Here is a 27,338-nt window from a genome sequence, read left to right on the forward strand (position 1 = left end):
CAGATTTGCATAAAGAGCCTAAAAAGGGGCCCCTGATTGAGTAGTTCTCATGCTCCGAGGGAACTGGAACCTACTCCACCCCCTACTCCGGGAAGTAGATCCAGTTTGTTACTTTAGAGCAGCTAGCTCCCACTGCTTGGCAAGACTGTTTATTGGCTATTATTAGTTATGAGTATCATTTGCATGGGTGAAGGCCTTCTGTACTCTCAGTTTGATGATGCCTATTTTTACTGTGTAGAGATAAGTTGGGTCAAGGAAGGTTGTGATGGGGTCAGTAGTCAAGGAGGCCATTAGCTATTTAAATACCTTAACCTCCAATGGATCCAGATTAAACCTCACCCTCTTGCAGGAAATCAGCTGATAGATGAGTCACATTGGAGAAATCTGGTATAAATGAAACCTAAAGAACTTATGTATGCCCACAGGAGTCTCTAGAACTTTAAATACTTTGCTTGATATCATCTAAACTTCACAATTGAAGAGAAGGTATCCTCAGAACTCTGTCTCTGGGATCTTCAACATGTGTCTTCTGTGTTGAGCTGGCCTGAAGATGGAGGTGCTGTGTCTGTAAAGGATCTTCCCAAACAGGGGTTCATTTAAGGCCAGGTCAGGGGAGTGTATCCAAAACCCTCCACCTTGTACTGGTGCTGAAAGAAGGTGGAGATGTGGCATGGCCTGGAAGGTAGTACCTGGCCTTGCACAGTCTGCCCGTAGGTCAGCGATATGGTTTGGCTCTGTGTCCCCACCCAAATCTTATCTCAAATTGTAATCCTCATGTGCTGAGGGAGGGATCTAGTGGGAGGTGATTGGAACACAGGGGTGGTTTCCCCCATGCTGTTCTTGTGATAGTGAGAAAGTTCTCACAAGATCTGATGGTTTTAAAAGTGACAGTTTCCCCCGTGTGCTCTCTCTCTTGCCTGCTGCCATGTAAGATGTGCCTCTGCCTTCCGCCATGATCCTAAGTTTCCTAAGGCCTCCCCAGCCATTCGGAACTGGGAGTCAATTAAACCTCTTTTCTTTATAAATTACGTAGTATTTTTACAGCAGTGTGAAAATGGATGAATACAGTTAGACAAGGCTTCAGGTACCAGGACTTCTGCTTTCCAGAGACATGAGCCCTTAATACTTGATCAGTGCCACGATCACCAGCAGCTCCTCTGCCTCTTATTGTGAGAAGCATCTCACTAGTGTAGCACTATCTGGACCCTTCCCCCCTCACCCCAATCACAGAGAACACTCAGCTAGGCCCCACCCATATAAGAGAGACCCCTCAAAAAGATGCTCAACCCTGGGAACTGGAAAAGAAAACTGAGTATTTCCTTACATGCCCAAGAAGTTTCCCAGCAGCATACACAAGTCAAACGGCCAGGCTGCACTGACATTACACTGCTCAACGTGACTGGATTCAGATTACCCATCATCCAGACCTGTGCACTTGCCTGCTGCCGGGCTGAGCACTTGCCTGCTGCCAGGCTGAGCAGATCTAACATGGCCTGTGCTGCTCTCACAGGTGTAGACCTGGATGTCACTTCTGATGCCACTGCCATGGCCCCTCAAGTCACCCATGGGTACAGCAAGCCCCTCTTGGCTCCTTCCCAGGATTTCTTGTCTATTGCTGATGAGGTGTGAGTTGCTAATAAGGTGTGGGATGATCAGCTGGCCACTTCTAGGCTTGTACAAACCAGAAGTGCAAGAGAATTCATGCCCCTTGGGGCAGACTTTGACCAAGGGGAGAGGGAAGGCAGTGAAGGAGTTACTTTCCCCCAGAAAGACTCCCTGAAGTGCAGTCACCCACATGGCAGCTCTCTGCATATGTCCCACAAGTCACCCACATGGTATCTCTCTGCATATGTCCCACAAGTCACCCACATGGCATCTCTCTGCATGTGTCCCACAAGTCACCCACATGGCATCTCTCTGCATATGTCCCACAAGATCAATCAGCTGTACTTGCTAGCAAGCAGTAGTCAGGTCAATGATACAGCTCTTATATTTACTCTCTTTCTTTGCTTCACTTCTCTTGTTCCCCACTTCTGTTTCTCTGGTGATGCTTTCACTAATGAAGCAGCAGCAATATACTTTTGCCTCAGGCCCCACTGCTCCACACTAAGACACAATAAGCAACAGCTTCCAAGTCAGGGCTGGGCAGGGCTCTGAAGGGCAACTCGAACCAAACCAAACAGCGTGGGCCTGGAAGCACAGGGTTAGCAGCTCCAACCAGCCTCTGCAGACTGTCAACAAGGCTCACATGCTGGCACTGGCTGGGTGCAGGTACTGCAGGGTTATGGCCAACACTGTCAACGCCATAGGAGATAGGAGGCAAAGTGATGCTTCAGGATCCTTGGGGCTCATGGATTAATAGGTGGTTTCTACTGGCATATCTGGGACGAGAGCAGCAGAGTACTGTCCAAGAAGGCAAGAGTCAAAGGAGAAAATCCTTTGGAGGCCTAGGATTTACCTAGGGCAGCCAGAGGCAGCACCACTAGAGGGAGAATATGAATTGGAGCCAGGGAGAGAAAGCCAAGGTCACAGCTTAGGTTGGAGTGTCGAGATAAACAGAAAGAATGACAAGCATGAGGTATAAAAGAGGTCACGGCATGTTGTTCAGTGCCAATGCATGTCCACTGCGAAGACGTAGGAGGCCTGCTTTCATTCTGGATGGGCAGAGTGTAAGACCAGGCCAGGGGGCTAAAAGGAGTGAGGCAGGAGAAGACCCTAAAAGCCACTGAGGAATCAAAATGAGGTGCGAGGTGAGCCATGCACATGTGTGACATTCCTTCACATCTTAGACGCATCTCCAGCACCCTATCTTTAAGTTATTTCCTCGTGGCATTTTATACTCCATTTGGGAAAGCCTCTCAAGTTAAGTGTTCCTTCAGCTTGCAAACTCTCTCTCTGAAAGCAATAGAAAGCCCCAGAGGGAGAGGAAATACCCTTACCAACAGCAGAAGTTAGCAGGGGGAGGCTGACATTTCTAACTTTAGATTCCGGCTCTCTCATTCCCCAGCTGTTTGGTATTGGGCAAATCACTTAACCTTTCAAAGTCTCAGATTTCTAGTCAGTAGAGTAAAAATACTAACAACTAGCTGACTCCAAACAACTAGTTGGGAGGAATACTAACAAGCAACAATTTGCAATAGCATGAAATACCTGCGTGAAGCTGCGAGGACCATGCCTGATGCAGACGAGGCAGGAGCTCAATCAATGCTGGAACATCAATAGCAAATCTCAGCTTCCGTCTGGAAGCTGGCAGCAGCAGCAGCAGCCAGATGGCCTCTCTTGGAAGCTGTACACTGAAGCCTGTACTTTCCAAGTTCAACTGGCCCCTACTTTTGAAGATCTCTCTTGGATACCAGGAATGGAGCTTTATGGACGATCTCACAACTAGCAATTCACAATGAGTAAGCTGTCATGTGTACTCTTGTAGATTCCTGGCGCTGGGGAGGGGGTGCTACAGAGGCCATGAGATGCTGGGAGAGGGCACCCAAGAGGTAAAGATTGGCATGTGATTCTCTATCATCTATCATCGCCCTCGGAAGGTTTACACTTCAAGGCTGACACTATTAAGTCTTCAGCATCAGAAAGTACTGTATGCAGTAACCACAAAGTAACCAGAAAGGGGCTGGCTTCTAGATACTTTTACATTTGGTTAAAATAATCCCAGTCAGGGCACCAGGTGAGTCTCTTCAAGCGCAGGGCTGAAGCTAAGCCAGGTTCATCCCATGTTCCACGCACAGGGGCACGTGCCCCATTAGTCAGTTTTTCTCTTACTCCTCAGGCTGCCCCTCAGCCCTCTCTGCCTGCGCACACCCTCCTCAGGAAGCAAACTCTATTTCAAATGTTTACTCATTTCCTGTTGCCCTCACATCAAATCCTGAGGTGTGCTTCCTCACTACTGTCCCTGAGTCTAAGCAATCTAGGTCAATGTACAACTCTCTCAAGGAACAAACTCACATTTTATAGGAGCCTCGTTGAATCAGAATGACTTAACCTGAAGAGGTGATTCTAAGAATAGAATCCAAGCCCCATAGCTGGATGATAGAAAGATATTTGAAAGATATCACTTTGAGCACCCTCAAATCAGGCCACACTGGGCAAAGTTAGGCCTAGTCTGGTTCGACAAATGGTCAGTCCTGACAAATTTCATCAGATCTGATTTTCCTCTTGGGTATAAATCTAGTGCCATACAGTTAACTCCACATTTAACTTGTTAATCACAGAGAGCTTTTTCTGGTCACAAATGGGTGACTTGTAGCATTTCCCAGGGTTGAGCAAGTGCTCCTGAAGCTCTGCCCTGTCTAGACACGTATCTGAAATATCTAATTACCCCTGTACATTCTGTAGAGCACACAAAGCCCAACGTCATTACATAAACATGAAGCTCCATATTAATATATTTGCTCAGTGAACTGTCCTTTTACATTTGCCAATCTGAACGTGAAATCATGCTACTGCTGAGAATAAGGATACTATATTGTGAATAAGAAGTTCCAAGTTGTGCTATGATCCAAATTATGAAAGTTAAATTATCTAGAGAGCAAACCAAAAAAGCTGTGTAGTGAACTGAATCCAAATTCAGAAGAATCTAAATAGCTTGATGCATACCCTCTCTTAAATGACACATTTAAATAGTTTCCCTTTCACACAGAGCAAGAAACTTTAAGAAAGAGATGAATCCGTCCACCTCCCTCCCTGTCAGCGGGTCCCTTATTAGGTGGGTATCCAGACCAGCCCAGGTCATTAGTCAGTTGCACTGGGGGTGGGGCATGGAGGGAACAGGGCTGATAGCCCTGGACCATCTACTATGCACCACATACAGTATTTATTCCATTTACCTCTTCCAACTACCTAGTGGGGAAAATTGGAAAATCATTCTCCACATTGAACAGATAAGGAAACTAAGCCTCAGAGAAATTGAATGGTCCAGGGCCCAGAACTAATAAAAAAAATGAAGCCAGACTATAAAGTTAGGGCCTTTTCACACTAATTGTCTTCAGACAGATGCTTACAAGAGTTAGTTAAACTCCTTTTTCGAGGGGGAGCACCTGGCAGCAGCATGGTACCATAACATGCCCCCTCCACACTCTATCCGGCATCTGAAAATGTGATACCACAGAGCAGCCTAGTAAGGGGAGCCCCTCTCAACTCATAAATCTGAGGCAAGTGTATAAACAAGAATCCCTCACCAGTGGGTGGCGGCTGCCCTCTGTGTCTCCCAAACCTGGGGCATCAGGCTGTGCCATCCCAGTACCCTCTGCATCTACTTTCCCTGCTGGATGTAAGCTCCTCGGGCTGGCACCAGGTCCTCCTCATCTCTGTGTTCCCATACCTAGCACAGAGCCTTGGTATAAGATGCACACATGGCAAAGCTTTGTTGACTACATGATGCTTTCTTTGGGTGCTCCTCCACCCTCTGCAGTGACATCGCACCCCTAAAAACTCAGTGCTCTTAGTCTGTCCCCTTACTGACCAGTGGTCCTAGGCCATGGCCCATCCTAGGCCCAACTCCTCTTCTCTCCCCGATGTCTTGTTCCTTCCAGAGCGCGCACTCCCCACATGACTTTGTATGACAATGGTTTAAGCAATTAATGAACCTTTGTTTATGATTTGGGCACAGCAGATAGCAATGCTTTAACTCCTGGAGAGCTCCCCAATGTGAGAAACCTCAGATCCCAGCAAGGGCAGACAGACAGACAAACTGGTTGAAAGGAAGGGTGCTGAAAGTATTCTCCATATCACCCTGTATAGGCAATGACTCACCCCACCTACAGGCAGAGGCGAAGTAACGAAGACACCTCTTCCCAGACTTCATGTCCACTCACCATGGAAAAAATGCTTCAGATTTGCAAAAATGCCCAAGCGTAATAAAAAGCCTGCATTCTGGGCCTACTGCTGTGATATTCACTACAAGTCTGACATAGAGGTTTAATTTGGTCTGCTGTGAAAATAGAACTGAATAATAATCACAGTCTTTGATTGTGGTTAGGTTTAATTATAGAAACCTATTCAAGTACATATATATTAATAGAAAGCCTCACAAACATGGCAGAAAACCATTTCTGTTCATAAGTATTTACAGGGAAAGCTCTCCTTATTTACTTTATTTAAATAAATATTTCAAATCAGCAAACCAAAAAAGAGCCCCCATCTTTCATGTGAACATTTTCTAATCATGTCATGTTAATATTTTCTCCTTTGATTTCCAATGAGCTAGCACAAGCTCTGGCCTCTGCACTAGATGGTGGTGCTGAGTCACTTATTTAGAATGGAATTATGGATTATATAAAGACTGACGAGTACAATAGATGTTCAATGTGGTGGTTGTCGGAAACATCACCTAATTAAATATGCTAAAATATTTTGGCTGAAAATTTGTTTTAAATCTTCAAATTTTTATACCTTCTGATTTTCTTTGTTGTTGTTGTTGTTGAGACAGGGTCCGACTCTGTCACCCAGGCTGGAGTGCAGTGGCTCAATCTTGGCTCACTACAATCTCCACCTGCTGGGCTCAAGTTATTCTCCCACCTAGCCTCCCAAGTAGCTGGGACTACAGATACGCACCACCATGCCCGGCTAATTTTTTAATTTTTTTGTAGAGATGAGGTTTTGCCATGTTGCCCAAGCTGGTCTTGAACTCCTGAGCTCAAGCAATCCTCCCACCTCAGCCTCTCCAAAGTGCTGGGATTACAGGCGTGAGCCACTGCGCCCGGCAACTTCTGATTTTGTAATATAGAAATAACTGTCTTGGCCAGGCATGGTGGCTCAAGCCTGTGATCCCAGCACTTTGGGAGGCCGAGGAGGGTGGATCACGAGGTCAGGAGATCGAGACCATCCTGGTCAACATGGTGCAACTCTGTGTCTACTAAAAATACAAAACTTAGCTGGGCATGGTGACGTGTGCCTGTAATCCCAGCTACTCAGGAGTCTGAGGCAGGAGAATCGCTTGAACCAGGGAGTCAGAGGTTGCAGTGAGCCGAGATCGGCCACTGCACTCCAACCTGGTGACAGAGTGAGACTCTGTCTCAAAAAAAAATAAATAAATAACTGTCTTTGGAAGTCAGACAAAATAATGAGCAGCCTTTATTTCCTTTTAATCTAATTTCAAATTAATGTTTTAACTTCAAGTAGGCAGGGCAAAAACACAATTTCTCTCAAATCGGGTAATAAGAATTAATTGAAGGGTGATAGGTCGAAATACAAGGAGCATAAAAATGAAAACACAGAGATATGGACTCAGAATTGTACTTCCCTTTGCTAGACATAAATTTCACTCCTATAATTATCATTTTTAATGTCCAAAATCTTCCCCACATAGGCTATACTTCTTTTTTTTTTTTTTTTTTTTGAGATGGAATCTTGCTATCGCCAGGCTGGAGTGCAGTGGTGCGATCTCGGCTCACTACAACCTCCCCCTCCCGGGTTCAACCATTCTCCTACCTCAGCATCCCAAGTAGCTGGGACTATAGGCACGCACCATTGCGTCCAGCTAATTTTTGTATTTTTAGTAGAGACGGGGTTTCACCATGTTGGCCAGGATGGTCTCGATCTCCTCACCTCGCAATCTGCCTGCCTCTGCCTCCCAAAGTGCTGGGATTACAGGTGTGAGCCACTGCACTCGGCCTGGCTATACTTTTTAAATGTCCAAACAATTAATTAACTTAATCTAGTTTTTTTTATTCGTAAAATGCATTTCTTAACTGAATTCAACAGTTAATTAAGCCAGGTGACTTCTTCATGACTGACCCGTTAAAATCAATTTTGCATTTATAAATTACCATGAACCTATTAATGCACAGTATAATTACTGTATTATAACTAACTTCTACACTAAAACTTGCAATATGGACTGTGAAGCCAGTGGAGAGGAAAATCTTTAGACGTAGTTAATTGAATAAATATATAAATTTGAAGATTCATTAGGGATTTAAACATTCCGTTTCAAAACTGAAGCCATCACATACTATTATTCTAATTTATTTCAACCTATAGTTCATATTTAAGTGCTAAATATTAAAATGTTGTAATAGACGCTGATTATATCATCTTCATGTAAAATGAAACACCAGACTTTGCTGTCATACACACTGGACAATAGGTGAAAAAACTCCAACAGCAGAGTAAACCAACAACATTCCTAAACGATCTAAAGATTCTCACAGCCTCCAAATTTGCAGATACAGAAACTTACATATAGGCCCTCAGTTCTTCCACAAGCTCCACCACCCATCTACCAGCACCTGTACCCAGTGCCCCACCATCCCTCATGTCACTAAACGGACTCCCTGTGCTCCTCTTGATGGCTGTCCCCTCTACCTGCACACAAGAGACCACCTTGTCTTGCCTACTCAAGGTCATCGCTTTGGCAATCTCCCCACTCTCTTTTGCGTCACTGCTTTCCCCCTCTCTACTGGATTTTTCCCATGAGTATACAAAAAGCTGCTATTCTCCAATATTAAGGAAAAGCCCTCTTTTGATCCCGTTCCTCTCTCTGCCCACCACTGCATTTCTCTTACTTTCTTTACAATAAAATTTCTTAAAATAATTGGTCTTACTATCACCAAATCCCTCTCCTTCTATTGTCTCTTAAACTCAACCCAAACAGGGTTTAGTCCACCACTCCGTTAAAACTGCTCTTGTCTATCACACCAATGCCCTGCACATTTCTACAGCAGCTGTTCATTCTCAGTCTCCATCTTACTGGACCTCTCAGCACTGTATAACACAGCTGAACACTCTTCATCTGGCAACACCTGGATAGAGCATATTATACATTTCATAACTCAGCCCTATTTGTCAATGTAACTTTCTACTTTGATTTATCCAGCAATTTCATTTTTTGGCCAAGAACTGCAACTTTCTCAAACCATTTTCCCCTTTCTTCATTGTCTTCACCACACTAGCATGTGGCCTGTTTAGAGCTACTTCTCAGAACAAAATAAAGTATCTAAAACACAGTGATCATTACTGTGAAAATGGTGAGGCATAGAGAATGAAGCTTCACTGTCATGCGGACGCCATGTCTCCTTTCCACTAGTACATGTGCATCTTACACCAAGACATCAGTGGTACCTAATGTATCTTACTCCCAGGATCCTATGAGCACAATGTCACAATATATTGGACTAACATGGTGCCCTGTGTGAAACCTTGCAGACAAAATGGTAACACAGAGCCAAAAAGAAGATAGAGGCCTAAAAGCAAGGCAATGAAGTTATTCTGCTGCCCCTATGAGGTACAAGCAAACTGTTTATTCTCTGCTTATGTGCCTTTAGTAAAAAAAGCATTTGGGCTGGGTGCGGTAGCTCACGCCTGTAATCCCAGCACTTTGGGAAGCCGAGGCGGGCGGATCACAAGGTCAGAAGATTGAAACCATCCTGGCCAACATGGTGAAACCCCCTCTCTACTAAAAATACAAAAATTAGCTGGAGCATGGTGGTGCATGCCTATAATCCCAGCTACTTGGGAGGCTGAGGCAGGAGAATCGCTTGAACCAGGGAGTCGGAGGTTGCAGTGAGCTGAGATCATGCCACTGCACTCCATCCTGGCGACAGAGAGAGACTCTGTCTCAAAAAAAAAAAAAATCCATTTGCCAGATAGATACATGCATACCAAAGATCAAGGCATGTATTGAGTTACTAGAAACTTTATCCTGAAGAGGACACATGTTCCAGTAATCTCTCCATATTTCCATTTCCCCAATTACTCTAGTAAGTACACTCTTTCAAAGGGCCGGATCTAGCAAGTTCTTGACCTTAGTTCCATGTAAGGGATGTTGGGCTTATGAACTGACCTGTCTGGGAACAATCGGATGGGGGCTATGATTTCCTATTGTAATAGCTTAAATCAAGCCTCCATTTGCCAGAAGACCCAGAGTTTTTTGGTTGTAAAAATCAGGTGGCATAGCTAAGCACCTATGCATTTCAGTCACAGGAATCCCATTATCAGTAGCCATTCCCAAAGATTCCTGGTCATCCTGATTAAATACCCATCCTGCTGCCTATTATGGAAGCCATGCTGCCTACCCACCTTGCTTTCTGATGGTAAGGTGCTGCTGCTTAAGCTCTATTACCCCAGGATCCTAATATCCCTAGTAAGATTAGGGAGTCCCATTTCAACGGTACCATACTTCACAAGCATCAGAGGTCTACAGAGAACAGCCAAATTTTTTTTTTCCAATGAAGCCAGTTGGTCCCTCCTCACTGTATCTCTTAGGCTCTTGTTGAAGAGCATCTCATCAGGACCCTCTCAAGGAAAACAATTGGAATACAGCTCTCCATACCCATGATATATCCCCTCCAACAATATTATCTCCCTAAGTGCTTGGACTTCTTGCTCTTATAGTAGTACGTGACAGAATTTCTAGCAGCTCATTGGTGCCACAGTCCCAGTTTTGGTCAACCAGTCAAGAAAACATAAATAGATCAATGCCATCTATTTATGCTAGTACACTGAATTCAGAACCTCTGGTTAAGTGCTCTTATAGCAATAAATTCAAGCCATCTAAAGTGGTATTTTTCTCTATTTGACCTAAAACTTTCAAAATCCATTATCATACATATTCCCCCAGAATATTTTCCAGTATCAATTGGGAAAGTCTTGCAACTTTTTAGCACCATAAGCTATCACCTCCTACCTTTGACTTTGTCATTGGTGTCTTGAGGCATTCTGGGATCTAAGTTTAGTTACACATCTGGGAGTAGGGCAGAAGGAGAACTGACCTACCTTTGTAATGCAACTCCTTCAGATGGCAGAAAATTCCATCAAGACACGAATAGCCTCATCAGAGAAGGTCACAGGGCTGCTCTAACTGGCAAGGGTGGATTGATGGACTTTAGGGATTCGGGGTGCCCTGAATTCACCAAATCCTACCATATCCCCTGTTCTAGTTCCCAGAGTCCCACTCTTTCTCTAAATACCCAAACCAAATACCAAAATAAGGGACCTAGCTGTGAATTCAAATGACATCCTTAGTTGACAACTTGCATTACTGCATTTGGCTTTTGACTTTTTAACCCTGAAAGAGTTACAAAATAAATTTGTAATATTTATATATAGTACAAAAGAGATTCTTTTAGTGTACTCGTAGAAAGTCCCTATTTTTCAATCCATCCTTAGGTAAGAATATTTAGGAATCTGAGCTTATATTCCCTTTCTTTAAGCTGTCTGCCACCGTTACATGCAGCCATCACACCAGCCCAGTTTTTCAAGTCCTCATTCCTATGCAATTGTTGCATGGAAGTCCCTGCTTGGTTCCCAAAAGGTTTTCTTTCAATTAGCAACTCATTCTAGAAGTTCACAGATGATTTATTTGCTAATTTTCCACCAAATGTTATGGGGTGTCAGTCTTATCCCTTATGCAGCTGGATTTTTCACTACCTTCAGCTCCAACTAACCCAGACAAACCAATCCCAGCTTCCCCCAATTTTTCTGTGGTTCTATTTCCCGGAACCATTCCTGGTTTCAAACTCCCTATCAATCTAGGTTCTTACTTGCAAATAACAGAAATAACAAAACTAAGACTGGCTGCTTTAAGCAGAAACTGAATTAATTGAAACGATGGTGGATATTCCCACATAATCATTGAGAAGGCTATGGAAGGTACTGGAAAACAATCAGGAACAACAGTAGGCTACCCAATCACAACCAAAATCATGCCACAGAATTTAAGGCTGCTCCTTCCACTGGACCACTCAGCTAGCTAGCTGAGCTAACTACACCAACATCAGAAGCAGAGACAGGATGCGACTACTGGAACTGCCACCACTGCCACTTCAGTAAACTGATGTTTCTATCATCACTGTACACATTGAGTAGACCATCACCCATTCTCTGTAGTCTGTCCATTAGTACCGAGTGGGTATTCCTGATAGGCTAGGTCTAGCACATGTCCTGTAGCCAAGGTGGCTGTGATACTGAATAGTGGAACTTCCTAGATTCAATGATGAGAGGCAAGCTCTGAATCCTGCTAAGATTCACAAACTGGGGAACTTCCCAAACAAGGGAAGAGAAATCATATGTAAGGCAACCAGGAAAAAAAAAAAGACAAATACCCCTGTAGGTATCTTCTTGGTATTTTGGGGAAGCATCATTACAGAAAAAGAAGATGAATTTTTATGTGAGCCAAAGTTGGAAAATTTTCATGCTAAGGGAAAAACAGAATGTTGCAAAAGTTTCATTTATTTGTAGGTGTTTTGCATCTATGGCAGTTAGTGATATTTTATAGTGAATAAAAAGAAAGCAAGTAAAGAGAAAAGACTCCCTTGAGTTTCACCATGCAAATTAGAGAATCTGGAAATAATACTCTTGATCCCTCATTCTTTTTTCTGCCCTCAATAAGGCTGATTCAGAAAAAGTATTTATAATATCTGTTAGGATTTCCCAAGAATATTTTAAAATTCTACAAGGACTGACAAGAGAACATTTGCTACCAATTAGAATGGATTTGAGCATCAAAGAACAGAAAAATTCTTATAATAACCTGATTTCACACTTCCCGTTAAGCATGTTTAGAGTACATTATAGCAAAGCATGTTAAAGCAATCTGCCCTCCAAAAAGTGCAACTAAGAGGAGAGCCAATGGAGCAACACTGGAGAACCAGAAATTCAATTCTAGGAGAATGACAGGAGATATGTGAGTGGTCAGAGGAATTAGTGAGTACTCAGTGATTTTAGACGCTTTGCCATTGGTGAGGAGCAGGGAAGTTCTTTCTCCTTGTTAAAAAAGAGGATCTGGAAGCTATAGAAACACACGGCGATTTCTCATCTTAAGCAGGTATGTAGTCTTCTCTCTTGCTACAATCTTCAGAGTATTATATAAGTATTTTAATTTATCCATTTGTTAACATTTGGATATATGCATCCATTTCACTGTGTGTGTTTTGACAACATCTAGAAGACAAATAACTTAACAAAATGTGCTTAGATGGGCCATAAGGAAGAGTGAAAAAGAAGAAAGGGGAAAAGAAGGTAATAACAAGGAGGCAAACAGGGAACCAAAGAGACTATACTATTTTCCTATTTCATGCACATGTGGGTGCGTGTGTGGGTGCATGTGTGTGTGCGCGTGTGTGTGTGCATGTGTGTGTGTGGTGGGGGGTGGTTTTGCCTAGCAAATTTGCTCCATTTCAATAGAAACTTTAAACTTCAAAATTCCTTTTTTTCTTATTGCTAAGTATAAAAGCTAATACTTATTTAAGACCCAGTGCTTTATATTAAGAAAAATATAAAGGTATACATTTAGATTTGAAATGTAGTCTATGATATCGGAGATATATCATGAAATCAGAAGTAATACTAAAAGCAATAAAAGAAAACAAAGAGAAAAAAGAGCAAATGGCTTTTACATAGAGGTTAAAAATTTACTGAATTCTCTTGGTTCCCAACTAACACCAAAGACCAAAGTTCACCATTTTGCTTTTTTCTGAGGCTACAGAGATAGTGGTCATTGCCAAAGCTAGAAGGCCTGTGGGGAGTCCAGAGGAATTTAAGAGAAATGACTGAGCACTGGAGGTGATGAAGCAGAAGCAGCATTTTCCTTGTTCCTCTGACTACCTTTTTTTTCAAGCGTTTTTAACATGGCTCTTGTAGGTCTTCTTTGCAAGCCCTTGCCAGCAAGTGAAAAGCAATCTAGGAAACCACAAGCTTGGTCTGTAATTGAAACAAACAATTTTAGTTCAAGGCGATAAAAGCAGTAACAACGAAAATGGATTCGAAGTTGGTATACAAAACTCCACAATTATGTTTCTTTAAAAGGCTACAGTCAGGAACTACATACAATATATTTTGTATAGGAACTCTGCAACACAAGTGAATATGCTAGGGTTTCTCATGAGTCCTGTGACTCTCAGAAACCTTCTGTCTTCCAAAGAGTTCTTTGGATTCTACCATAAAGTATACAGCAGTATATGGAGAGCATTTTTACTGTTTAAAATCACAAATGCAAATAAGAACATACTGTAAAGGGTTGAGTATCCAGTAGCACACTCTGGATACCCAAAAATGTACAACAGGGAAGAACGGGGACTATTTTTTCATATAAATTCTTAACAATCTGTAAAAGGAAAAAAATGAAAGCCCACAAATAAGCAGAGTAACTTAGTTATAAAAGTTTAGTCATTTCAAATTCATCTCAAAACAACAAATATAGTATTTTATTCCCACTAGACTGTAAGTCTCATTTGTACAAGAGCCAAGTTTGTCTTTGTATTATTGTAATCCTAGCACCTAACAGGGTACCCAGCAAAGAGAAGATGCTCAGTAAATATTTGTTGATGAAATAAATAAATACTTAACGTGTAAAACAATAATTAAATGAATACTTGTGTTAACCCCATGTATGTACATAACATACACTAAAACACGCTTAGGACCCCAAATAATGTCAATTAACAGGGAGAGGCTGAAAGGTGAGAAAAGAGGAGAGATGAAAGCATAAAATAGACAGAGAATTGTCACTTAATCTCTGGAAATTCCTGTAAGCAGTTATCCATTGTTCATGACACCTTGAAAATTCTCATCTTTAACCTATTAGAATTTCTTCAACTGGAATAGCCACAGCAGCCTCCAGAGACATCATTTTCTCTGGGCATAATTAGTGGTCTCCTCCTTGCTCCATTATCCTGATAACATTCAATGAGGTCTCATCTGGCTGCATTATGTTTGGGACCTGTGGTAATGTCACAGAATCAGAAAGCCTTACACATGAACCATCTAATTCAACCTCCTTAATTCACTGATGAGTAATTTCCCAGAGGTTCTGAGTGCCTTGCCCCGGGTCGCAGCGGAAAGAAAACTTCTTTTGTTCCACAGAGTTCTGGGGTACGTGATAAAAGAAGAACTTCAGCTGAATTAAATTTAAAGGAGTTTGAGCAATGAATAATTCGCGAATTGGGCAGCCCCCAGAATCACAGCAGATTCACAAAGACTCCAGTGCAACCACGTGGTAGAAGAAGATTTACAGACAAAAAAAAAAAAAAAATGGAAATGACATACAGAAATTGGAAGGAGAGTACAGAACTGCCGGTTGGTTACAGGTCAGTGTATATGCCTTATTTGAACATCGTTTGAACATTGAGCAGTGTATGAAAGGTTGAAATCTGGCCTCTGGCCACTGGGATTGGCCAAGACTTGGCTATTGTTACAGGTGCATACTACTAAATTAGGTTTTCAATCTCATCTGCCTTTAAGCTAGGTTACAGTTCACCACAAGCACTCAAATATAAAAGTACAGAGTCCTTCTCAGGCCATATTTAGTTTGCTTTAACATACTGCAAAGAATACTAACTTATACATCCCAAAAGGCTCATGGACAGAAATGATTTGTTACTGAATATAAAGATCTATTAGACACCTGGAAATCTTTGGAGACAAAGATGCTTCAAATAGCCATAGAAGGGAATGCATAAGGAAGCTAACACATTACAAATACAAAATTTTTCTATGCCTAATTCAAACTGAAAAAAAAAATGTTTTTTTAATTCCTGTCATTCTCCAGAGAGAGGAAAGCAAAAATTGTTCTCTACATCTGAGCTGTGGTGTCAGCATATTACCCACCACTAGAGCACAAAAGCAAAGTTCAGGCCCTCATTTTAGAATCAACATGGGTGGCTGGTGACCGTCAATTTCACCAATGGGTAAAAACACACGACTTCCCTGGATGCCTGTCATTTGCCTCTCATCGCATAGTAACCAGCTGTATAAGTAAGCAAAAAAATCCTCGAAACTGTTTATTGACTATAATTAACAGGGTTTATGGTATTTGAAAGCAAATAAGCACTATGACAAATATAATAAAATATGATGCATAAAAATGATGTAAAACCGACTTGATGTTCTGACTTTCCAGTGAAAGTCGTTTTCCTGGTTTACCTGATGAAATGTTTCAGAGGTTCATTGCATGAACTATGAGTCATAGCTTCAAGTCTCTGGTTGCCACTTTACCATTTACATGATTTAAGGCCAAAATCTGCTCTCCTTCCTATGTCATAACAAAACCGCGCAAGACTATAACGTAAGCCTCACTACCCATATCCTAGAGCTTTGCAGCAACCAGCAAACGTAAAAACGGAAAACACCAGAGCTCTAAACAGATTACCCAGCTGCTGTGTAAATTTACAGCAGTCTATAAGCCTTCATAATATTAGTAATATTTATAAAATTATTGAGCAGTCCTTGATTATAGTGTATTATAGAAATGCAAATTGCAGTCACAAGAATAGGATGTGGGTTGGGACTCTTGAAATCAACCTTCATTTTTTGACCTGACATTTGATATTTTGCTATAAAGCCTCCAGTTTGAACGTTCTACTTGTCAAGAGTTAATGAAACTGAAATGAGTCACAGATACTATCTATGACTCATATTATTATAATATCACAATTATATAATACTGCAAGTATTCATGGTGCAAAAAAGAATGCCATAGGACAAAAGACCTTCCCTGTAGATCCAGTCATCACAATGAATAAAGCCCTAAGCATGCTTGCTAATTTTAATGGGACCGAAGAGTCTTAACGCAAGTTTCCCCTCTCCCACCCCTGTTTTTTATTTAATTATTTTTAACCTGCTTCTGGTCCAAGAAACCATTTCCTAGCCTGGAGTGCTAGGCATTTACTAATGGCCTTTCCAGCAGGGCTGACATACATGAGTGGCTGTCTCCAGCTCACTCACAGACTTGGGGGCGGCTCTTAGCAGCCTGTTTCTACCTGAGGGTCTTTGTATTTAACTGAATTCTTTAGTGACAGGGATCTGCAGAATAAAGAATGCTGCATGGGGTAGGAATGCACACACGTGTTTTCAGCTGCTTCATATTCAGGCCTGCTGTGACTCAGCTTACAAGATCAAAGTTATAAACTCATTTTTCATTTCTTAGGGGAAAATGTCTCAGTAAAAGTACGAAAACCTGAAACCTTTTTTCAAGGAAGATACAAAACAAACTTTCAAAGTTTTTTTGTTTGTTTTGTTTTGTTTGTCTGTTTTGCTAAGTAGTGGTCAGTATCACAAGATGACATCCATGAAGCTCCACTGGGGACTCTAACATTATATATAAGTTGATTCCTATGGCAAAGTGTATAAACTCACTGGTTATTGTCATTGTGTTCATCCACCATCATTGAGCATATCTCTAAAACAATGTTGTACTATAATTTTTTCCCAGGAGTTTTAGAGAGAAAATAAAATTCCTCTAATGGAGACAGTTTCTTGACACAATTGTTCAGTCCTCGAAGCACTTCATTATTAGGTGGTAGCCATACATTTGAATCAATAAATTCCTATTCAGACTCTGCCTTCAGAGAAAATCCTGTAGCAGTATAATTAATCCTTTGCACCTGAGGTTAAAAATGTGGCCGAATAATAACATCATTTTTAGGCACTGGCAGAGCAGAATTAAGTTCAATAAAAAGTGGGAAAGATAAAAGGAAAAAAAGGAAGATCCAACATATGAAGTGGCTGCTATTTTATTTCAACATTGCTTATATGTTTAGGAAAACATTTAAAAGATGAGTAGACAAGAATGAAATGATGTATCACAAGAAGTTTGTTTCCTTCTTACGGTTTCAAAACTGAAATTGTTAGAGAAAATGAAAAATGAGTTTTTAAGTGTTGAGAGTAATTCTAGAAAATATTTGTGCACACAAAGCCTGACTAGACCTATTCCAAATGATGTTCTTATCTGGAGTTTCCCAGCTAGGTTAATGCGGGCATTACCAAATCCTGAGGTACCTAAAAGGAGTTGTCAGAGAAAAGATAAAACAAAAATAAAAGATGGAGAAACAAATAATATAGAGTGTTTTCTGATCAGAAATAAGCCTGCCAACTACCCATTAGAGACTGGTTAATACTTGTGAGTCTCAAATTGCCTGAATTTATTCTGGAGCTTCTAGATATATCTGGGGAAATTGAGACAATGTACTTCTTTCTTTTTGTAAAAAAACAGTAGGTGTTACCCAAATAAGTGGGAACATCAAGTCTGGTCTTTATTTCTGAGGTTGCCTGCAAGTTGCTACATCCATAACAAAAGTGCCTTTGCAGTTTACTCTTCAGCATATATTATTTCATAAGCAAGGTACTCAAATTGAATCTCAGCTTCAAAACTTAGTATCAATCACATTTTTCAACCTTCCAGTTTAGTTTTGGTATGACTGGAAAATTCTGCAATGCTAAGGAAGTGTGCCAACCATAAATTAAAATAACATCTGAATGTACCCTACATAGTTTATAAGCCTACAAAGGACCTAACGTCATGAGGTTTATGAGTAACAAACCTTGGTGACAGTAATTTTCCTTAGCTGAAACTCTCTATCACTTAAAATATTCTGTCAGACACCCAGTTACACTTTGAGATTTCTCATCAGGCTTTTAGTATTTTAAAAACTCAATTTCTGAAATTTCGCCTATAGGCTCGATCCTTCCAAACACACCTCCCTCCTGAAATTTCATGCTCATCACAGCTGAATGCCTGCGACTGTCCCGAACACTTCCCCTCGCTACAGGAAAATGCATTAACTTCCAGCTGCCCGGCCGAGTGTGCCATGTCCGTATCAATTAGGCTTGAGCATTTAAAACGGCTGTTCCTGAGGTGATTAATGACTGCAAATGAGAAGACCTTTCGTTTCCCGGGGACAGGTCACCCCAGACCCTGTGTTATCGCCACCAGTCAAGGCATCCTGCTGAACCAGGCTGCCATGCATCCCCTTTCCAGCCCATTTATCAGTCAAACCTGCCAGGATGATTCTTTTCAGGTGTGCATCTGAGACACGAGGGGAGAGACCTTTGTTTTAATTGCCCATGATTTGCTTTATGGTCTCCAAGAACTCATGAGAACTTCTGCCAAAGTAGTTTCAAATTCAGAAGCTGGGACAAATGAGCATCTCCACCATGGATGAGGAGCAGTATCTAGATACACAATGTTCAAAAGCACTTTTCAGCACTATGATTTACAGGCAAGTACTGAAAAAAAAAAACTTAGCCAAGAGGATTTTTTGAATTTGTAACTAAAGGTAAACCTGTTTTATAGCTGGCATCTCATTGTTCAGGAAATTCCAAGGCCGGCTGCCATCAAAGGTTGAGAAAATAAAATGATTTAATTCAAGTTTTCAAATTGCTGATGTAAAATGGTATCATTCCATTTCTCATCCACATATAAGTGAGCTGAACAATCATCAGGCAGTTATAGTCAAAAGAAACTTTTCAGAACAAAGCTGTCATTAAGAGATATAAAAACATTTATCCAAAGAAGACATAACAATGGCCAACAGCTATGTGAAAAAGTGCTCAAAATCACTAATTATTAGAGAAATGCAAATCAAAACCACAATGAGATATCACCTCATGCCTGTTAGTATAACTGTTATCAAAAAGACGAGATAACAAGTATTGATGAGGGCATGGAGAAAAGAGAAACTTTCTACATTCTTAGTGGAAATGTAGATTGGTACAGCCATTGTGGAAAACAGTATGAAGGATCCTAAAGGAATTAAAAATAGAACTACTGATACAGTGGCTGCTGCCATCATGTCAGCTGCAGCAGGGAGGCGTGGCTGGGGCTGCACACTCCATGGAGCCAGTGGGAGCCCTGCCTCTTCTGAGTTGGAAAGAGAGCTACGTGCCTCTGCAGCCACCCAAACTGCAGCTACAGACCCAGGCCTCCTGCTCTAGTGAGCAAGCAGGAGCCTCGCCCTCCTGGGTGAGGCTACAGGCCACCTAAACTACAGCTGTGAATCCAAGCCTCCCTTGTGCTCTTGGGGGAGCCAGGAACAGTCAGGATCTGCCCTCCTGGGTGCAGCTGGAGCCACGGCACTGGTGGCTGCAGATCTGGAACTCCCAGTTGGGAAGCAGGCAGGAGCCGGGGACAAGCGGGAGCCCTGCCTCTTCCGAGTTGGCCAGGCCGGAGCTCCTGGCTGCAGCTGCTGCTGCCCTCCCACGTGCAGGGCGTCTCTGCAGCCTGCACCCTCGGGCACCCCAGGAAGGTTCCCTGCCCCTGTCCCTGAAGGCTCAGGGGTGTCTGCTCCCACTGCCTGGCCTCTCTCCGCTCCCAGTCCCCAGCTCCAATCTCGGAGCGGGGTTGGGGCCGAGCCCCAGGGCCATGAACGGCAGCAGGAGGCAGACAGAGTCCGGGGTGGAAGGGGGCAGGGTCCCCAGTAAGGCCCCACTTTCAGGCCGTCCCTGGCCTGAACACTGGGGGCCGGGCTGCCAGTCCTGTGGACGGGAGAGGAGACTCATGGTGCCTCTTTGGCTTGCCCATGGACCAACTGGCATGCACTCTGTCCTCTCTGAACTCCATAAAAGCTCTGTACTCAGCCAGAGCAGGGCAGAGGATGGCTAAGGACGAAGAGGGCAGAGAGAATGGGAGCAGACCACAAGGTGCAGAGAAGACTACCCTGTCTGCTGATAGCTGGAGACGATGGGAAGACCAGCTGCAGAGAGGAGTACCCTCACTGCTGAGAGCTGCAGAGATGACCTGCCAGTAGAGAGGAGCTACTCACTCCTTTGAGCTGTTCTAACACTAAATAAAACTCTGCTTCTTCACCCTTCACTTGTCTGTGTACCTCATTTTTCCTGGATGCAGGACAAGAACTCGGGCAAAGGTGCTGGGGCCACAGAGGTTTCCCACCAGAAAAATCGACACCCAAGAGATCTCCTAACACTACTGGTTTGGGCCGTAATCCCAGCACTCTGAGAAGCTGAGGCAGGAGGATTGCTTGAGGCCAGGAGTTCGAGACAGGCCTGCGTAACATAGCGAGACCTCATCTCTACAAAAAAAAAAAAAAAAAAAAAAAAAAAGGCTGCGTTTGGTGATGTGTGCCTGTAGTCCCAGCTACCCTGGAGACTGAGATGGGAGGAGTACTTGAGCCCAGGAGTTTGAGCTTTACAGTGAGCTATGATTGCACCACTGCATTCCAGCATGGGATACAGAGTGACACTGTGACACACTGTCTCTTAAAAAAAAAAAAAAAGTCTAATGGAAATGAAATCACCACTTAACTTCATAAAGGTATCCACATTTCCTTGTTCATTGCAGCATTATTCACAATAGTCAAGATACTGAAACAACTGAAATGTCTGTTGATGGATGAATGGATACAGAAACTGTGATATACACACATACAGAGAAATATTATTTAGCCTTAAAAAAGGAGATCCTGCCATTTGCCACACGAATGAACATGGATGACATTATGCTAAGTGAAATAAACCAGACACAGAAAGAAAAATACTGCATTATTTCATTTATATATGGAATCTAAAAAAAGAAAAACAAAGTTGAATACATGAAGATAGAATAAAGTGGTTGTTACCAGGGGTGATAGAAGTAGTTGTTACCAGGGATGTGGTGAGACTGGTAGGAAATGGGGAGATATACATAAAAGGATACAAAGTTGCAGACATGTAAGATGAACAAGTCTGGAGGTCTAACATACAACATGAGGACTATAGTTAGTAATACTGCCTTTTATTTGAGATTCTTGCAAAAAGAGTAGATTTTACGTGTTCTTTCCACACATACGCAAAGAGGGTAACTATGTGAAATGAATGTGTTAATTTGCTTGACTATAATAACCATTTCACAATGTATATCAAAACATCATGTTGTATACTTCAAATATATATAATTTTAAAAAAGTGGTTTTTTTGGTGGTCAAAAAAAAGAGATACAAAAACAAAAGCCCTGTGGATGCATCATCTGGGGTTTATTCCACTTGACATATGAGACTCTGCCTTATGGTAGGGCTCAGGTATCCACCTCTGTCCCTTCTGGCCCTGGGCATGCCAAACCTACACCCAGAAGAGACTTGTGCTACCCTTTCCACATCTTTTCTACCCCATGACATCACTGGTATGTTACTCAGATTTTGGTGTTTTCTAACAGTCTCAGGACATAGGAAAAAAATTTACACTTAAAGCTTCAGAACAGCCATTCAAAAAATTATCACTTAATAGAATGAAAACACACATGTACCATGAATAGGAGAGGGAAGGCATTAAAAAAAAAAGACTTCTTAAGGTCAATTTTCCAAAAGGTCTATGTTTAAATGTTCTAACAAAATCTACTGCATAAGGACAAATAGATATTAAACTGTTATATTGGGAAAAATACTGCATGACATAGAATGTCTGAAATCCAAAAATAAATTAATATCACTACGCTTTGCCCTTTAATCAAAAGTAAGTTAGTCACTGGTATTTAATGCACACAAGAATCTAGTATAACATGGACACATGAAGGGGAATATCACACTCTGGGGACTGTGGTGGGGTGGGGGGAGCGGGGAGGGATAGCATTGGGAGATATACCTAAGGCTAGATGACGAGTTAGTGGGTGCAGCGCACAAGCATGGCACATGTATACATATGTAACTAACCTGCACAATGTGCACATGTACCCTAAAACTTAAAGTATAATAAAAAAAAAAAGAAAAAAAAAGAATCTAGTATAAAATTGCTACCAAAAAAAAAAAAAAGAAAAATTAGAGAAACTTGAGATTGTACTGGCAGCTTGAAATTTTCTAGAATTCTAAATTTTAATTTTAGTCTCTACCTTAATATAAGATATTTGCCAAATGTCCATAGAATTGAAGGTTTTGTACTACTCACTAACAATATATAATGTTTGCTTAACTTGGGTTTGATGTAGACCAGTGGTTCCACAAACTAGATCATAACCTTAGAAGGTGAGACATACGCATCGTAAGTTCTTAAAAGTTCTCCAGGTGATTCTCATCTGCCGTGGTTGGGAACCACTGACACAGACCAATGCTTTCCAAGACCCCACCTTGTTAGGAAAAGAAAACACAAGTATAGCAGTTAAGAACCCAGGAGTAACTCAGAAGAAGTAAGTTAAACAGATTTTTAAAATTATAGTGATGTAAATAAGATACTAACATTGGTGCCCAAAAGTAAAGGTAGGTTGGAAATGGTGAAATGTGTGATGTAATTGGTAGTTTGGGGCCTATCAGGGAGACTTCTTGGGAAAGTCTTAATTATAAACTGAATTATAAAGGTCAAGAGTCAGTAAATCACAGAATAAAGAGGCAGGCATTTTAAAGATGACCCCTTCAAATAATCTGAGCATTCAAGCCACCAAGTAATAATGACTATAATTATCATGTGTTCTATCTTTATTTTATATCATTATTTAAAAAGGAAAGCTATTTCAGACTGGGATTTCTTGTGCAAAGTTTTTTTTTTTTATTTGGGTTTTTTGTAACTTATGGAAAATATTTCACCCAAAAAGGAATGGAAATCTTTATCCAGCCTAAGAGTGAGTGGAAGAGAACTAAGCAAACGGAAACAACCAATAGCTCAAAAGCTGAGTACCATAAACACCTACACATTTGACTGGACACGATTTCAGTCTTCTTTAAGAGGAGGGACTTAAGAGTCTTAAGAGTTTTCAGCTGGAATAAGATGTATAAGGATAAATTATGTTTATTCACATAAACTGTTTTGCAATATGAAAAGACCAAAAACACCTGTAAAGCCAGTGTGGCTCCCACTCCAGGAACTCTAGCTGGTAATGTTTCCTGACAGAGTAATTTATCCTAAATTTCACATCCTGCAAGCATAAGGGTCAAATATATTTTAGTCATAAAGACACTATAAGTTTCCGAGTAGAAATGCTTCAAGTTTTCAATCTCCAAGAACATTTGTCCCACCTATTCTGATAATACTTTACTATCCCTTTGTTTTTCAAGATACCAGAAATGACTGAGATGGAATTTACTCTAGCTTACTTCTTATATTTAAAAAGATCTCTTGCTTTTGCATTTATCTAGGCACATATAAAAATCAATATGTGACCTACTACTACCCAGACAGAGGTTAGCATCATTTTCTAAGGCTCCTTGCTCTTCACTGTACTTTGGTCTTTTCCATCCCTGCCTGACTCTACACCACTCTCAGGCTATTCTTCCCAGACACTTTTTCTACTCTGCCGTCGTCCTCTGCCCAGGAACCAACAAAGCGTTCCCTGTCGGATCAAGTCCTGAACACTCAGCTTGACCCTCTCTAATCAGAAGAATCTGCCTCTTCAACTTTATTTCCACGTTCCCCAACCTTTTCATTCTAATTAAGCCAATATCCCGATTGCCTTCCATAGAAATCATGTTTTCACTCACATACCTACTCAGTAAACACTTATTGAGTGCCAGCTGAGTGTCAGGCCTCGTGCTCATTTCTGGCCCCACACTTTTGTTCCTGCTGGCCTGGCTCAAATGCCAAGTCCTCCACAAAGCTCTCTTCAGCTGTGCTGATTCCCCACTCAGCGTCCTTATCCTCGGGATTCCCCACATCAGCATTCGCAACCTGAACTCACACAGCACTTTTCTAGAATACTTTCAGACATTCTGTTTCAAATAAATTTGGAAACTCTGGTTCAAACTCAGTTGGACAGGTTTCTCTACTATGGAATTCTCAGAGGCTTTAATAAGCTACCATCAGTTGTGAATTCCTAAGAGGGTTATATAATATTCAGAATTTCACAAAATTCCTTGGCCATAAAAATTTTACAGTATAATTGCTGAAATCCCAGGACAATCTTATTTGGGAAATGTTGCCTACTATTATTTAAAATTGGTACCACACAATTTATCACTTAATCACATTGCTGGCTATATGGTATCATCCTGTTACTTCTCTGTCTTCTTTCTATACATCTTTGTCCTTTTCAAATACCCAAAATATTAAGTCCTCCCTTATGACTAAAAGTAAAGAGTAAACCAAAAAATACTGTCTCAACCCTTGGGGAAAGTTTTCTAATATGTATTTATTTACCTCCCTGCCTTAGTAAGCAGTACAATCAATGGATCTTTGATGGCTGAGACAGGTTGAAATGGCAAAAAGACAACAGCACCACTTTTGAAAACGACTTTATGTAGACCACCTCCCTGGCCTCAGCGTCCTCATCTGAACAAGAAGGGAACTTCCCAGTTCTGACGGTCTATCGTACAGCATCTCAGCGTTGTGATTCTTAAATAAGTATTCACTGTACAATCCTATAAAGGTAAGAGCTAAACAATCAGATATCACCCCCAGAACATTCTTCGGAAGTCTCTGTGCTCTGCTTTCTTACTAATATAATAATAGCTTGTTTTCTTATGATTTTCCTCCTTCGAATAAAAACAATTCCTATTAATTTAGGTTTCCTGTCATTTGGCTTTGAGTTAACACAGGCTTTACTTGACAGGGAAGGGAATGACTCGGCAATCACAGCAACAGCCACACCTGCAGTGCTCCTTCGTTTCCCAAGTGCAGCCAGTAACTGGTCAGATGGAGTCCCAGAGGGCATGGGCCACAGAGAGAGGAAGTCATCTGATGGGAGGGTGGGCATGAACCCATGGACATGAACCCATGAAAAACAGCTGTCATGTGTCTCCATATCTAGTTATACTTCAGGTTCTAGTGGATGAACAACCAACCAACCAATTTGTTTTATAATGTAGGGTTTCCTAAGTTAACAAATCTTAAATTTCTTAAGCTTCCAGAGCCCACTGGAAAAAGATCATCACAATTCTAAGACTCTGGAAATGATGAATGTCAAAACAATCTCTATTCCATTATTCCAATAAATTTTGTGACATTGATGTGATTTTCACACAATGTTTAATGCAAAATGACAAGCAACTCAAATTTCCATATTATTCTTTTAACCATCTGTAAAAAATAGATAAATATGACATCTGGTGAAAGCTCTAATGAATGAAAAGTGCATTATTTCCTCCTCACAGCAGGTGTGTGACTTTGGGCAAGTTACTTCTCTAAGCCTCAGTTTTCTCATCTGTAAAATGGGGCTTATTTCATAGAGTTGTCCTGGGTGTTCAAAAAAATAATGTATTCAAAACACTTAACACATCATTGTGTGACTGTTATTGCTTTTTTGCTTATGGTTGTTGTTACTATGATTATCGTTTGACTAGTGTTATTGTTATAAAAAGGACAGTTAGAAAGAATTCTATTAAACCTCTGGAGATTACCTCACTTCGATTTGAAAGCCAATTCTTTCTGCACTGTTCTAAGTCAACCTATACAAATTGTTAGATACAAGTTGGAAAAGCCCATAAAATCGTGTGGTCTCTTTTGCCTTTAATAGATTCCTCCTTTCAACCACTACGTATCTATCTCCCCCAATTCACATCATCAAAGAAAGCTTAATGCAATTAAATGGGGAAAGAAGTTAAGATGAAATTAGACAAAGCCACATTAAAGCAGTCAGCTCAATTCTTGACACACAGATTGGAGGACAAATAAAGGGGTGAATGGAAGAGATGTTTTTCTTCCTAGGCAGCAGGCATAAGTTACACTCCCATAAATGTCAATAACCAGCTGTGTGACTCTGAGTGGGTTGAGAAACTATTAGAATAGATGACCTCCATAGTTCCCTTCCAGCTCAGCCTCAGAGCCCACACTGTTGCTTTCTGTAAAGTTAAGTCTGAAGGGGAGGATCGGGCTAAATATTACCATTTTAAAAAAGAATGCTAGTGCTATTCAAGAATGAAGTTTAATTCTCAGTCCTTTGGAATACAACTTCAACTCATTTACTTAGATAAATGCTTTCCAGTACATTTATTAAGAGAGCAAGAAGTGATGTTTTGATTAAAAGTGAATTCTAAACATTTGCTACATTCAGAGCAGTACTTTGTTAGTTATATTTTGAACTTGCATCTGTATTTATAGAAGCAAGTTCAACTTATATATATAGGACTAAGAGCTGTTGAAATAAAAATTTGCTATAGATTTTGCACATTTCGGGTGATTAATCAAAAGATTTCATCTACCTAAACATTTCTTTCCATTTTTTTTCTTAATCTTGGATCCTACTTATCTAAGCAGGCTTCCTTTCTACTGGATATAATTTCAATAACTTCAAAAGCAAACACAAAGTAATCTTATCTGTGACATTTCTCAAACACTTTTTTCTAAGTCTTTCTTATTTCATTTGTTATACACAAACCTAGATGGTGTAGCCTACTATACACCTAGGCTATATGGTATGGCCTATTGCTCCTAGGCTACAAACCCGTACAGCATGTTACTGCATTGATTACTGTAGGAAATTACAACAAAATGGTAAATATTTGTATATCTAAACACAGAAAAGGTACAGTTAAAAATATTTTTTTAACGGTATGCAGGCTGAATACAGTGGCTCATGCCTGTAATCCCAGCACTTTGGGAGGTTGAGGTGGGTGGACCGCTTGAGCTCATGAGTTTGAGATCAGCCTAAGCAACATGGCAAAACTCTGTCTCTACAAAAAATACAAAAATTACTCAGGCGTGGTGGTGTGTGCCTGTAGTCCCAGCTACTTGGGAGGCTGAGGTGGAAGGATGTCTTGAGCCTGGGA

At 41.2% G+C, this 27,338-nt stretch overlaps 1 protein-coding gene and 1 long non-coding RNA gene across 8 annotated transcripts in view; one reads left to right on the plus strand and one right to left on the minus strand.

Annotated features, from left to right (window-relative positions):
* Positions 1-27,338, minus strand: part of FSIP1 (fibrous sheath interacting protein 1) — a 185,402-nt gene that overhangs the window by 28,327 nt on the left and 129,737 nt on the right. Inside the window, exon 11 of one of the 7 annotated variants that reach the window (XM_011521309.4) lies at positions 13,295-13,647. The exons of the other annotated variants lie outside the window; for them this stretch is intronic. Coding sequence (XP_011519611.1) covers positions 13,627-13,647 — 21 coding nt within the window. The 3' untranslated portion in view covers positions 13,295-13,626. Of the gene's footprint in view, positions 1-13,294; positions 13,648-27,338 lie in introns of those variants that run through there. 7 annotated transcript variants of the gene reach the window in all.
* LOC105370785 (uncharacterized) lies at positions 2,662-14,983 on the plus strand. Its single transcript, XR_932156.3, has 3 exons — positions 2,662-2,750; positions 3,141-3,401; positions 14,809-14,983. It is a non-coding gene; the product is annotated as an uncharacterized LOC105370785 (long non-coding RNA).

This window comes from Homo sapiens, chromosome 15 (assembly GCF_000001405.40).
Source record: "Homo sapiens chromosome 15, GRCh38.p14 Primary Assembly".
Lineage (NCBI taxonomy): Eukaryota > Metazoa > Chordata > Mammalia > Primates > Hominidae > Homo > Homo sapiens.